The sequence below is a fragment of the Homo sapiens genome, chromosome Y, assembly GCF_000001405.40.
Source record: "Homo sapiens chromosome Y, GRCh38.p14 Primary Assembly".
NCBI lineage: Eukaryota > Metazoa > Chordata > Mammalia > Primates > Hominidae > Homo > Homo sapiens.
Window position 1 is genome coordinate 5012280 of NC_000024.10, and position 14628 is coordinate 5026907.

Genomic DNA, 14628 nt, shown 5'->3' on the forward strand with positions numbered 1-14628 from the left:
TTAACTGACTCACAGTTCTACAGGCTGTATAGGAAGCATGGCTAGGGGAGGCCTCAGGAAACTGACAATCATGGCAGAAGGCTAAGAGGAAGGAGTCACGTCTTATATGGCCAAAGCAGGAGGAAGACGGAGCAGGTGCAGGTGCCACACACTTTTAAACAACCAGAACTCGTGAGAACTCACTCACTATCACAAGAACAGCAAGGGGAAAATCCACCCCCATGATCCTATCACCTTCCACCAGGCCCCTCCTTCAACACTGGGGATTAAAACTGGACCTGAGATTTGGGTAGGGACCCGAATCCAAACCATACCATTTAAGCATAGACTGTTTCCATGTACCTAATGGGGCACGTATAGCAGCCAAAATACCCTATATCATTTTAGGGTTTTTTTTTTTTTTTTTTTTTTGAGAGGGAAAATCCAAAATATACAAAAAGGAAAAGAAATATAAGAATCAAGACAAAATAAACAGATAGCAAAACATCTTCATACTCTATTATCAAAGAATAGAGAAGAAAACTTACTCTATGGTAAATAGAAATATCAGTTCTATGAACACGATCAGTTCATTTTTTTTTTTTTTTTTAGATGGAGTCTCGCTCTGTCGCCCAGGCTGGAGTGCAGTGGTGTGATCTCGGCTCACTGCAAGCTCCGCCTCCCGGGTTCACGCCATTCTCCTGCCTCAGCCTCCCGAGTAGCTGGGACTACAGGCGCCCGCCACTGCGCCTGGCTAACTTTTTGTATTTTTAGTAGAGAGGGGGTTTCACCGTGTTCTCGATCTCCTGACCTCGTGATCCGCCCACCTCGGCCTCCCAAAGTACTGGGATTACAGGCGTGAGCCACCGCGCCCGGCCTCATGTTTTAAGACAATGAGAAACAATTGAGTTAATTTACAATGGCATTAAAATAAAAAATCATATGTAATTAAATACATGCCAAAAATCAGACTATCTCAGACTCATAACTGGAAAAAATATGAAATAATTTCTTGGCCTGATCCAGCAAATATTAGAATGGTTCAAAATATTAAACAAAATAATGATGTCAGACTATTCCAATTCAGTTTCATAACTTTAAGTCATTTATATTTCCAGCTTCAGAATCAATTTGAGTAGATCTTAGAATGAGTTTAATTACAGGAAAATATTACATAACTGGATGAAATTTTAATCATAAATCACAGACTTGAAGAATAGATTTTAAAGAGATGGCAGTGAAGGTTGAGCAATATTAGCCAGAAGACAATACTGTATAATACATACTAAATGTCTAAGTACTTACAATTGCTAATAATATGATAGGATCACAAAAGAATTAGTAAGAACTTTAAAGGAAATGGATTAATTATATTCATTAGAAAAAAAATTACAATTCTCAGTTACAATTAGGTTCCAGGATAAGGACTGACAACTCAAATAAGCATCATGATTCAGAGAAATGGAAGACACTTTGAGAACATGATATACAGTATTTCCTTTACAATATCATTACACTTTTTATATTTTTATATCCTATGCCAATGATAGCAACTATTAGGTCGAAGCAAAAATAATTGTGGGTTTTCCCATTAATAGATCACCCAAGAACATGCTTTGGTTGTAACTGAAACTACTAAGTTTTTGAAACAGGTAAACTAAAAATCAAAGCAGATTTATCATGAAACTTAACACAAAAACTAAACAAAATACTGGAAATAGCACTTTGCAGTAACTACTAAAAGCAATATCACTAATATCACAGATTTTACTATGTAAATAATTACATTATCACTTTTAAATTGCTTTCATTGCATTTTAGGGTACTCTGGCAGATTTTTTTTCATCTGAATCTCACAACAGTTCTGTGAAACAGGTATTGCATATATTATATATTTTTAACATATGAGGAAAGAGGCAAGACAAATTTTTCTATTCTTAAAATCACATACCTTTTAGGTGTCAGAGACAATAATAGATCCTTGTTCTTATCCCTGGAATAATATTTGTTTTATCAGCTAATATATGCACCAATTTATTAGGTTCAAATATAATTAAGGATATATATTAAATAACAATTTAGAATATATTATATTTACTTTTTTAGAAGTTTTAAATTTGTACTACAGAGTTTCAGTGAGCACTTATTGAATCTTATTCGGCAAAACTATTGTAATATCCCTGGCTTTAGTAATTTAAAACATGTATTAACATAACTATACAATTATACAGTAGTCAATAGTGGACTAGGAAATAAGGATGTTATCAGATTGAACAAGAAAGGAATACTAAGTTGGAAAACAAGTTAGGATTTGGTTCTATTTTCAAATAATTTCGGAAACCAGAGTCAAACTTCAAAGGATTGTCTTCTCTGTGAAGATAAAAATATTTGAAATAATAGGTCTAGAGGGAGAGTATTTGGGAGCAAAAAGGAAAATTATGGCTATGGGTTGGCTCAGATATAGACTGTTAATAATACACTAAGGTGTATTACTCTGGCTAAGTACTGGTAATGCTTGATCACAGAACTTTGGTAGGTTTCAAGTTTCTAATTTTATTTGAATTACATTCAAGCATTTCCGTAATAGAGTTCTGTAATAGTAGTTAACCATGTGGGGTGAATAGGTTTATCCACTGAGCTCATACTTTGTTTTCCATTGGAAGAACTAGATTATTAGAAACTATTACAAAAATATATTTTGCTGTTAGAGAAGCAAACCCTGTTTAGTTTCTTTAGTGAATACCATGAGTTAATTAGTAGACTTAAAAATATAAATGATGACACATATTGTGCTGAAGTGCCACCGAATATAAGAAAAACACTATCCTTTTTGTAAAGTTTCCTTAAAACTACAGTTCTACATAAAGGTGATATTTATTCGTGAATGTTTTCTTGAAAGAAGCCTTTACATATAACCATTTAACACTTCAAACAACCCTGCGGATTAGCTGGAGCAGACATTTTTAGCCTCCCTTTCTTTTGTCCATTTCTGTTTTTCAAATGAAGAATTGAGCTACTAGTCCAGATTAGCTAAATGGCTTGCCTAAAGTCATCGTCAATTTAGTTAGGAGTAACTTAAGATTCCATGAGCTTTTCACCATTGCCATGTAGACTGAGTTACTGGTGGTAGATAATTTAACCTAGGAATTATGTAGTGATTTGAGATTTTTAATAAAGGAAGGAAAAGAGAGGAAATGTTTCTCAGATATAGAATCTAGGTTAGGGATAACATTTCTTTGCAGAAAAAAATACAAATTGTGATGAGATATTCAGATTCTACTGAATTAGCAATACACTGAGGTAAATCATGACTAGCAACGTTTTGATGAAAATATACTTGTTTGCTGTTGGGGTATTCATTCTGTTCTCATTATTAGTGGCTCCAAATGAAGAAAGTAGGAATTATTGTAGTGAAATGCATGTCCCTAGGCATTCTATAATAACCTGGAATTTCTAGTTTATTTGATTTTCCTGTTTTTACTTAGGAAGGTGATATGGTTTGGCTCTGTGTCCCCACCCAAATCTCAGCTTGTAGCTCCTATAATTCCCACGTGTTGTGGGAGGGACCTGGTTGGGGATGATTGAATCATAGGGGCGGGTTTTTCTATGCTGTTCTCATGATAGTGAATGGGTATCATGATATCTGATGGTTTTAAAAATGGGAGTTTCTCTGCACAACCTCTTTCTTTGCCTGCTGCCATCTATATAAGATGTGACTGGCTCCTCCTTGCCATCTGCCATGATTGTGAGGCTTCCCCAGCTACGTGGAACTGTGAGTTCTCCATTAAACCTCTTTCCTTTGTAAATTGCCCAGTCTTGGGTATATCTTTATCAGCAATGTGAAAACAGACTGATACAGAAGGTCATTTCTGATATTTTTTTGTCTTTGTGCATAACTTGTGCTCTTTTGGAAGTAACTTAAAACACAAATACTGTTTAACTATGAGCTATGAACAGTTACACCTACTGACTTAACGTGTGTTTTCCAGAAGGTTCCATTCCCTTTGAAGTGACTTGCCCAAGGTCACAAAAGCAACTTAGTGGCAGTCTGAAATAGAATTTAGGTCTGCTTGGTCAGTGTGCTTTTCACTATATTGTCCTGTCACATCTTTCACCACAGTAAAAGGGCTTATGTACATTTTTTTAAATCACATGTATAATGATCATATAGCCCAAAATAGTCCAGTGTTAAAACTAGTTTTGGTTATAGATTTGAATGGTAAATACCAAACTAATGTGTGTTAAATAGTAAAACGGTGACTCTTTTTCAACAAATTAAAGACATAAAAATACTAACTCATTAACTAATTTTCTGAATGAAACTTAAATTTTATAAAGCAATGTTACATATGTTATAACATTTACCTTCTTGAATGTTAGGGACGTCTCCTACATGAGGTTTTATGCTACAATTTAAACTTTAAATTTTACGGAAATATCACTATAATACCTTACTGCAACTTAGATCTCTCTTGAATCCAAGAAGTTTGTTTTGCAGAAATACTGTAAGAACAGTTTTATAGTCATCTTAATTTTTGTAGCAGGTCCCTATGACTTAAGACCCCAAAATACATTAAGGTAAAGTTTTAATGTTCCATAAACAATACCAATCATCCAATTTATGGAACTTATGTTTTGCTTATTTACAGAAAAATAAATATTTGCCCCATTTTAAATATTTTAAAGGTGTTTGCTCTATTGCTAAAAATGTCTAACACATTAGACTTTTAATAGATTAATGGAATGGAGTTGTAAACTATTCTTCAGCAAACATACCTTTAAAGGTCATGCTGTTCTCAAAACATAAATTAACAAGTTTGGTTAAGTGCAAGGAAGTAGTATAAAAGCCAGCAACCTCAGTTATATTTTAGTCTTGTTATATTTGTTTGAATGAAAATTTATCTTACATAGCTATCTTTTTTTTCCAAAATGTAAAAGATTTTCCTTGTGAACAGACAGCATTTGATCTAACATAGTTATTGGTCTATTAATTTTTTGTGTGTTCTTTTCTACCAGAGCCATGTATTCTTACTGCATAGTATACATTTTTAGAGTAAATTCTTTTAAGAAATAATTTGAACATCTTTAATTTTCAGAGAAAATTTTAGGTGTAGTTTTTTTAATTGCATAACTATTTGAAACTACTATATAGATAAATTTTGAAATTTTAGTAATGTGGTGAAAAAATTCAATGAGAAAGAATCTCCTTGATTCAGAAGCTACTGAAGACAAACAAGTAAAGTTGGAAACTGTTAAAGGACTAAAAGGGCAGAAAAATTGTCAATATCATTTTCTTATCTCTTCTAGATATAGCTGACTTGATAAACTGATTATTAAAAGTAACAAGTTCAAATAACTGAAAAACCCAAGTTCATTTTGAACCAAAGATTATGGTTAAAATACCAATGCCAAATTTACCAAAATAATTACATTTTGCATACTGGATAATCATTATATATGTAGTTGGTACAAATTTATCCTTAGTTATCTATATCTTAGATGTCTACTTCTGTGCCTCTGTGAAGCAGGAGGTAGTCTAATTATTTCCATGGTATGAATATAGAAATTGAGACTTGCCTAAATGTACAAAGACAGTAAATGGCCACATCAGGGATCACACTCACATCTTTTTCACTTCACAGTCCAGATTTTTAACCAGAATGCGAAATATAAATGTATTTTTGTTTATATTTTGAAATATCATTTAACTATATTAATAATTACTATGCACATAAACTTTTCAATTTCTTTTTAGATAAATGTTTTATATTATATCCATTTCTCAGCTTTATTAACTGTGTTAGGAGTGCAGAACACCGTGCCTTGAGGAAACATAAAAGTACATCAGTTAAACTGAATATTAAGGTTTTTCTTCTTTCTTCTGGACAGCTTAATTGTAGGAGAAATATTCTACCTATAAAATTGCCTGTCGTTAACAATTCAGTAACAGCCTGGTGAATGTGAACACACACACTTTAAGTGTCTAATTTAAAACTAGATTTTCTCCTTTGATAATTCTACTTTTGTTGTAGATTATATAATGAGTTTAAGCAAATTAAAATTATAGATGGCTTGTGATCTTTCTCATCAAAGATGATTGCATTTTTGTTTCACTTGTATTAGAAATTTGACAGATTTGATCTAGAGGCATGTACAGTTTTGATTTTTAATGGATTTGCTTGGACAATCTCAAGTTAAAATAAGAACTTTCAATTCTAGTCTCTGTTCAGAAATCCTGACTCATAATACTGAGATAAATACTGGAGGGATAAAATGTCTCTCAGCATTAAATAACTAAATAACATTTGTTTGAACTGTGAAGGGAGAATTGAGTTTATTTATAATCCATCTGCATAATACATCTAGTTGAATCAATCAATTATTTTAACTGATTTTCTTCCAAATTAACTGCTGGTTTTATTTTTATGTGGACATTAGCCTTATTGTCCAAAAAACTCACTCTATATTTCTACTTAAGACAATTAAAATGCAGCAATTCCTTATTCTTTAATCATATCCTTAGGGTATTTAGTCAGAATGGAATATTATGAGTCAAAGATATTGATCAGAAGTCAGTCAAAATTTAAAATATCTTCTCTTGGATTTATTTTCTTCAAAACTATTATCATGCAATAATGATGCAAATGAAGTACAGACAAAAACATAGATGAACACAGATGCATTTGCTTGATAAGTACAGACAAGGAAACAGCATGGTAGAAATTTGCCCAACTAGACTTTCATTCTAGTAGCTAAGCTTTATACTTTTTTTCTTAACTTGATATTTTAAAAACTTGAAAAAAAGAAAAGAATCAGCATCACTTCTCAGCCTTTTGGCTAAGATAGAGTGTAGTATCTGTTCCTATCAGTTTAATATCTGATGTATCCTCTGTCCGAGGACAATATATTACATGGATTTTTGGAGCAGGGAGATGGAATAGGAGCATGCTCTGTCCACTCCACACATTGACCTGGTATTGCAGTACCTCCAAGAACGGTGTTCCCCTCGGGGGTTAAAACACAGTGTTACGGGCTGGGCGTGTTGGCTCACGCCTGTAATCCCAGCACTTTGGTAGGCCGAGGCAGGTGGATCACCTGAGGTCAGGAGTTCGAGACCAACCAGGCCAACATGGTGAAACCCCATCTCTACTAAAAATACAAAAATTAACCAGGCATGATGGCGGGCGCCTGTAATCCCAGCTACTCAGGAGGCTGAGGTAGGAGGATCACTTGAACCAGGGAGGCAGAGGTTGCAGTGAGCCGAGATTGTGCCACTGCACTCCAGCCTGGGCGACAAAGTAAGACTCCGTCTCAAAAAAAAAAAAAAAAAAAAAAAAAAAAATCAGTAGAATCACTTTCCTAAAATATAAGTACACAGATACTTTTACAAATATATGATACACAATGGCCTTCAAAGTGGATCTAGACAAATAGAAATTTGTTTTTAATAATGCTTAGAAACTATGTTTCTCTTGCTAATATTCAGTATCACTTTGTTACTTGAAAATTCTACTTTTCACAGAAAACAACCTATTTTTGTAGGACTTAGGTTGTCTTCCTGCTGTTAGGATATAATACCACTAGATAGCAGTGAGGTTGTAAGAACTCATTTCTTGTTGGAATGTATTTTACTCAGACATGGATTATTTCTTCCTTTAATATATATAATATACATAATTTCTGAAATTATATAATAAATCATAAAATGTTTATATTCAAAATATACTTTTAGAAATGAAGACTTAGGTCACATTTATTCTGTTTTCCTTATCATATATCATCAGTTAATACTTAATGAAACCCTACCCCTTCACCAGAGATTTTGAATAGCTTATTTTTTACCTACTCCATATTTTCTATTTTCCAGAATTATCTCTTGAAAAAACTCATACATGCATAATTGAAATTAAAATTTTAGGATATTCCACAAAGTTGAATAGAGGTTTTAACTAAATCCATGACCTCCTAAACACAAATCTTTTTTTTCACTGACATTAAAAAAAGTGTATCTATAGATAAAATTTCTGTTATCCTTCAATTAATAATAAATCACAAACATACATAATTCTGTTAAGTAAAAGACCACATGTCTATTGAGGAATTGTACTAGGCTCACAAGAGTGAGTGTGAGATGATTACTAAGAGACTGTTTGCTATGAACAGTAAAACGCATTTTTTTGGTATAATGTGATATATGATATAAATGAGCTTGATAAGGTTGTTTAAAGATTCACAAAAGAAAGTAGATTTCTGGCCTTTCACTTGATTTACTATGAATTTCTGCAAAACTACTGAGTTTCCTGGTTGTGAAATAAAAATAATGACTCTTTAACAATTTGTCTGACTGTGCAAATGAGTGATAAAACTTGAATAAAAATGTATTATTCAGAGTAGAACTGAAAGGTGTGAGGCTCTAGATGTTAAACATTTATATTCATAAATTATCATAAACACTGAACAATGATATGTGTTCATAAGTAAATAAATAAGTTTTTTAAATTAGGTGTTACATATAACTTATAAAACCAGATGAGATGCCACATAACAGAGTTGTATATTTTCTACACATTTTGCAAGTGCACTTATAAAGATATATGTCTATTATTCATATATTAGACATTAGTATTTATGGAGAGGCATAGGTGGATACATATGTCCATATATTCTTGCTTAGACAAATGGCAATATAATCATTATACATATGTTCCTAAATAAAAATTTTGCATTTATCGTGTATACTAATCAAGGAATAACAAACTAGATCATTTAAGGTTTCATTTACAGAATCAATTCCAAATATCTTTTATTGCTTTGACACTAGTAGCATTTTGACTCCTTTAGTACACCCTACAGCATTCCAGGTTAGGGGAGTTAAAAGGTCCGAGAAAGTTGCCAGGTTCACATAGTAGGGAGATTGAACTGATAGTAGGGAGATTGAACTGATAGTAGGGAGTTTCAACTGATACCTCATTAAGGTTTTTGTGGCTGGTTGCGGTGGCTCCCGCCTGTAATTGATCCCAGCACTTTGGGAGGCCGAGGTGAGTGGATCGCTTGAGGCCAGGAGTTCGAAATCAGCCTGGCCAACATGGCATAACGCCGTCTCTATTAAAAATACAAAAATCATCCGGGCGAGGTGGCACACGCCTATAATCCCACGTACTCGGGAGGCTGAGGCACAAGAATCGCTTGAACACGGGAGGCGGAGGTTGCAGTGAGCCGAGACCGCGACACTGCATTCCAGCCTGGGCGCCAGAGAGAGATTCTGTCTCAAAAAGAAAATATTTTTACATAACAATTTTCACACTCTTCCATTTTCTCTCCACTTTCTCTTTTCCTTCTACTCTCTTTTTTCCTTCTTCCATTGAATTTTCACTACTCTTTCTTCATAAAGTAAGTTGTTGAAAGATTAAATATTTTACTGCAGTTCACTCTGTTTTCTACTTCCATTCTTCTACAAGTAGGCCTCTATGTCAAAAAATAATCAGTTTGAAAATCTCCTTTATTATTCTGTTTTTAAGCATCTCTTTGTCTAAAAGTAAAAACAAAACGTACAATTAGGAATATGTGCTTTGGCTCTTTAAGGCAACTGCTTGCCCCATACTCTGACTTTAGCCCTCAATTGTCTTGGAGATGCACAGTAAAAGGATATATGCCTAGGAGAATAAGGCTTTGATGTACTGTATATCTAAATGTTGTCTGACAAAATTAACACAGAAAACTATGGATATTTTTTCTTAGCGTTTGGAACAAACATGATACATAATAGATTATTTTGCTGTAATTAAAATGATTTTCTATGTCTAAGTTAATGTTCATGTACCTAGTTTTGGTTGTTTCCACTCAGCAGGTGAGGTAGCAATTGCTTTCTTTTGAAAATTTAGACCCTTTCTACTGCTATCATTGACTTTGGAAAAAAGGCAAAACCAAAGGCAAATTAACCCTGTAATAAATATATTCAGTTGATCATTCATGTTAAGATACTTGATGGCTTACATTTAATATTAGGGATATTTATTTTACATTCAAAAGTTATTCATTTTTACTTAAAACATAGAAATGCTGTTTTTTAAAAAAAGGTTTATTGCTGGGCGCCCTGGGCCTGTAATCCCAGTATTTTGGGAGGTGGAGTGGGGCAGAGAGCTTGAGCCCAGGATTTCCAGACCAGCCTGGGCAACATGATGAAACCTCATCTCTACCAAAAATAAAAAAAAATTAGCCAGGTGTGGTGGCATGCGGCTGTAGACCAAGGTACTCTGGAGGCTGAGGTGGGAGGATTACTTGAGCCTGGGAGGTGGAGGCTGCAGTGAACCATGATCATGCCACTGCACTCCAGCCTGGGCAACAGAACAAGACCCTGTCTCAAAAAAAAAAAAAAAAAAGAGTTTATTATCCCATCTAGGCTTCAAGTAAAATGATTTAAATAAGAAGGGCAGTTACTTATTCAACTCAAAAGAATTTAAAAGGAAACATAAAGGATTTTAAACAGCAGTATTCATTTTCTGCCTTTGTTAGTCAACAAAAAAGAGGGTCTTGAGTCATAATGCAGACAAAAGGTAACATCGGCTGCATATTGTGCCTGAATAATGGAGATTTCTTCAACAGAAACTGTTTGAAAAACATTTGCATGGAAGTAGTAGATTGCCTTTGATTATATTCAAGGGGAAGGAAATAGCCAAGCATGATTTTCCAGAATAAGGTAAACTTTTCTTTCATTAGTGAAAGTTATATTTTTGGAGTGATATAAACACTTTAAAACACTTTATACACAAAGTGAATTCATATAGATAAATTACATATTTTAAAACCAGAAATATTTTCACATTAAAGCTGAAATTATACATGATATGAATGCAGTATTAGTTACTAATGATTTGTTTTGCAGAAAGATTCTTCATTGTGTAAATGAATTCATCATAGACTCCAAATATCAAGCTCTCAGAATGTGTTAAAAATGGCATTTGTTATCAGTCCTCCAGGTGTTACATATGACTCCCAGTCACACTTAGATGACAGTATATGTGAAAGATGCTTAGGAGAGGCAAGAGTCTGAAAGGCCAACATATATTAAATAACTTTATTTAAATGAAACAATAAAATCCTGATTGATTTGAAAGCACACTGATGCATTATTAATGCACTTTCTTGAAGAATTGGTCTCGAGAGAAAATGCTTCACTGAAATAATTCAGGAAACTGCCCTTATGGCAAGTGGGGCAGATTCTCTTCCTGTCCTTCATAGCATTCTATATGTTTAAGGAGCAATGCTGACAATCATACACATGCATCTGCATGCACACATTAGAAGAGATGGAGTAACATGTCTATCTAAGTTGTTGTTGGCAATCTGTGTTCCCCCTCAGTGGAAATCTTTCAAATTAAATTTGGGCAATTTTCTTTATGTAGATACTAGAAAAGGATTCTCTCTCAGCTCATATTTGTGTGTCTTTTGTCATTTTTTCTTCACAGTTATGGTTACCTATGCTAGTACAGTATGCTGCACATAATTTAGATCAATTAATTCTGTTGACTAAAATACACCTTTTTGGATCCCCTGTTTCCTGCTTCTCACCACCACACATTGTCTTGTCTGCTGTGCTTTTAACAGCTCTCAAATAAGAAATTTATCTTTGCATATTTAAACATCCTACTCCTCACCCCATATTAAAGTTACATTATTAAGAAGGCCCACACATTCTGATAATTTCCATATATTTATTAATGCCCACCTGCATGAAATAATTTTTCCTGCACATTTAGTTTTGTGCTTTTCCCAGATATTTGGAATAAATCTTTACTTATTGATGTAGTGATTTGTATGGAGAATTGCATATTAGTGGAAAGTCTGACTAAATATCTATATAGAATATATGATGTCGGACTACATGAAATTTCTATTTTTCAGGTCAAAATTGGTTAAATATCAGCAATTTTATCTATTTCAACCAGTAAACAAAGGTCACAGTTCAGATGTACTGAAACAGAGAAAATCATAATTATCGGTGGAACTATCTTCTGAATTTCTCCTCACATCTGCAGATTTGTCCGGACAATTACTTAGTCTTAAGTAAAAATTAGTGTTGGAGAAGTCTTTATGAATAATGCATACTTCTGGAGGAAGTGAGATTTGATCACTTCTCAGCCTTTTGGCTAAGATAAAATGAAAGTCAGTTTATAAAGTTGAGACTTCTGATTTAATGTTAATATGAGTTCCTGAAAAATGAAACACAGTTCTATTAATGCCTCAGTACAAATTACCCAATTATGCAACATAAATTTCAATTAAATGTAGCATCAAGTAAATCTATTTTCCTATTCAATTACTTATTGAATGAATACGCATTTTTCTAATAAGATAGGCATTTGGATCAAATGTTAGCATTTTTTGTTTCTGCAGATTTATTGTGTCTGCAATTTAATATGGATTATAGAAACATACGGAATGAAGCCTCCGTATAATTGTTTATCCCATTATCAGAAATTTTGCAAAATTTGATTCCTGAGAAAAAGGTAAATTAAAACCATTTGCCATCAGTTATCTTTTTCATTTTTTTTTCTAAACTCGGATTTCAAACAGAAGAGCTCTTTTTTGGGTGATGTCCTTAATAATTACAATCTAGATTCTGATTCCAAAACTTTACTAAGTTTTATTTAGGTTAGTGTAAGTGAAAAAAAACATATTTTGTATTGTTTAAAGTCTGTGTAGTAGCTAAGAGCTTAAGCTTTCGACTCATATAAATCTTCTTTCAAATTTTAGTTGTATACCTTAATAGGTCTGTGACCTTGGGCAAGTTATTGAAACTTTTAGAGTCTCAATTCCCTCATATGTAAACGGAAGTCACAATAACAGTGCATGTATCATAAGACTGCTGTATTAAATGCACTTATCACAGTTCTTGGCATGTAATAAGAATTCAATAAATGGTAGCTACTATTATTCTAATAACTGATTACATTCTTTGGAAATTGTATTAAGTTGACCCCAGCTGCTTAGTGAATCACTGTATTTGTCAGCATAGTAATTTGCAGAAACATGGATCTGTATTTCCTTTATATATATTTTTAATAGGATTAGGACTTGCAGGAGTTTGCTAGTGTGTATATGATCTTGGCAGCAGGAATCCAAATAGCCTGAGTAGAAAACTGAATTTTCCCACATTTTTTCAATCACATATGGATAGAGATAATCCCCACTGTTGGCTAAATTGTGGAAGTTTTATGCTTCTTGTATTGGTGGCCTTGCTGGCAACAGTAGTCTACAAATAAAGAATATTGTTTCTTAGTAGCTTAAGCAATGTTAACATTGTGATACATTCTCTCTTTTTACCAAATAAGTCTTTTCAAACTCTTAGCAAAATTAAACATTTTAAAAAATCATCGAGTTAATTAAAAGAATATTGTATCCTTAAAATATGCCATTTTAATGGAAATTTTTTTTTGTCAGTGAGAATATGATTTATTTACAATAATGCCACAAAATATGAAGTGGCAGTTTTATATTTCAAGTGGTTCTGGTCATTTTTAATTAACCGGAGAGGAAGTGAGAAAAAAATAAAGACTGTTTAAAATATAATTAATTAGATTAAAATTTTAACTTTTGTTTATACAGTCTTTAGTAATGTATTTATTGGCTTTTCTGAGGAATCTGGTATTTCTGAGGAAATTCTATTTTTAAATACATGCTACTTTAAATAAATGTTACTTCATCATTTGCAAATGACTATTCAATCAACATGTATAAAAGTTGTGGATTTCTTTGCTTTTATGACAAAAGTGGTATTGTATTTTTAAACTGATCACTTTATTAGGTCAGAGAGGGTATAGTTCAACGTGTAATTATTTATTGTTAAATTGTATATTTACAAACATTTTAGTTTTGAACCATTAGATGTTTATGTAATTTAAGTATGAAAGTTTAAAAATGGTTCATATAATAATAGGCATGTGATAAAATGTCATGATAAAAGACAGCCAAATAAATATTATTTCATCCTATTTAGAAAGAATAATTTTCCAGAGGAACTTTACTCAGTTTTAGAGAGAAATCCAAGAATAGTGTTCTTCTTTCATTTTTCAACATGATATAATCAGAGAATTTGGAAAACTGGTAAATATAACCTATAGTAAAATGGTCAGGAAAAATACTCATTTCCATTTATGATAACTGAAGTGACAAAAAGACTCCTAGAAGTTACATTTTCCCTTTGTGGTATATTAAAGAACAATGAATATACCACACTTTATTCTAAAAAGGACTTTTTTTGTGAATGTAAAGGATAATGATCAGATTTAAGTTTCTTTCTACAACCACTTCTAATTCTATTCACGTGATCTATTTAAAAATTCCTTACTTCAACATATTTAAATGTAGTAGCCATTTTGAAACATTTTAGTCCCGCAAGACACAGAAATATACAAAAAAACATACAAGTTTCAGATCCAGAATTCAGTTTCTCCCTAAAGGGAAATTCATCATCCAATCTTCTGGCGTTCTTTAAACTAGACACTAGACCCTTTTCATCTAGATATTGCATATCTCATATATATTATACATACATACATGTATGTGTATGCATGTATTTTTAAAATCAGTATTTGTAGTAACATATCAAAAAGGAATTTCTAATATTCCAAGGTTCTAATGTTAGAATAG

The 14628-nt window shown here is 32.7% G+C and overlaps 1 protein-coding gene and 1 pseudogene across 6 annotated transcripts in view; both read left to right on the top strand.

The window, feature by feature from the left end:
• The window catches only part of PCDH11Y (protocadherin 11 Y-linked), a 741933-nt gene that overhangs the window by 11984 nt on the left and 715321 nt on the right, over positions 1-14628 (top strand). The window lies entirely within an intron of this gene.
• Positions 6797-6984, top strand: RNU2-57P (RNA, U2 small nuclear 57, pseudogene; annotated as a pseudogene).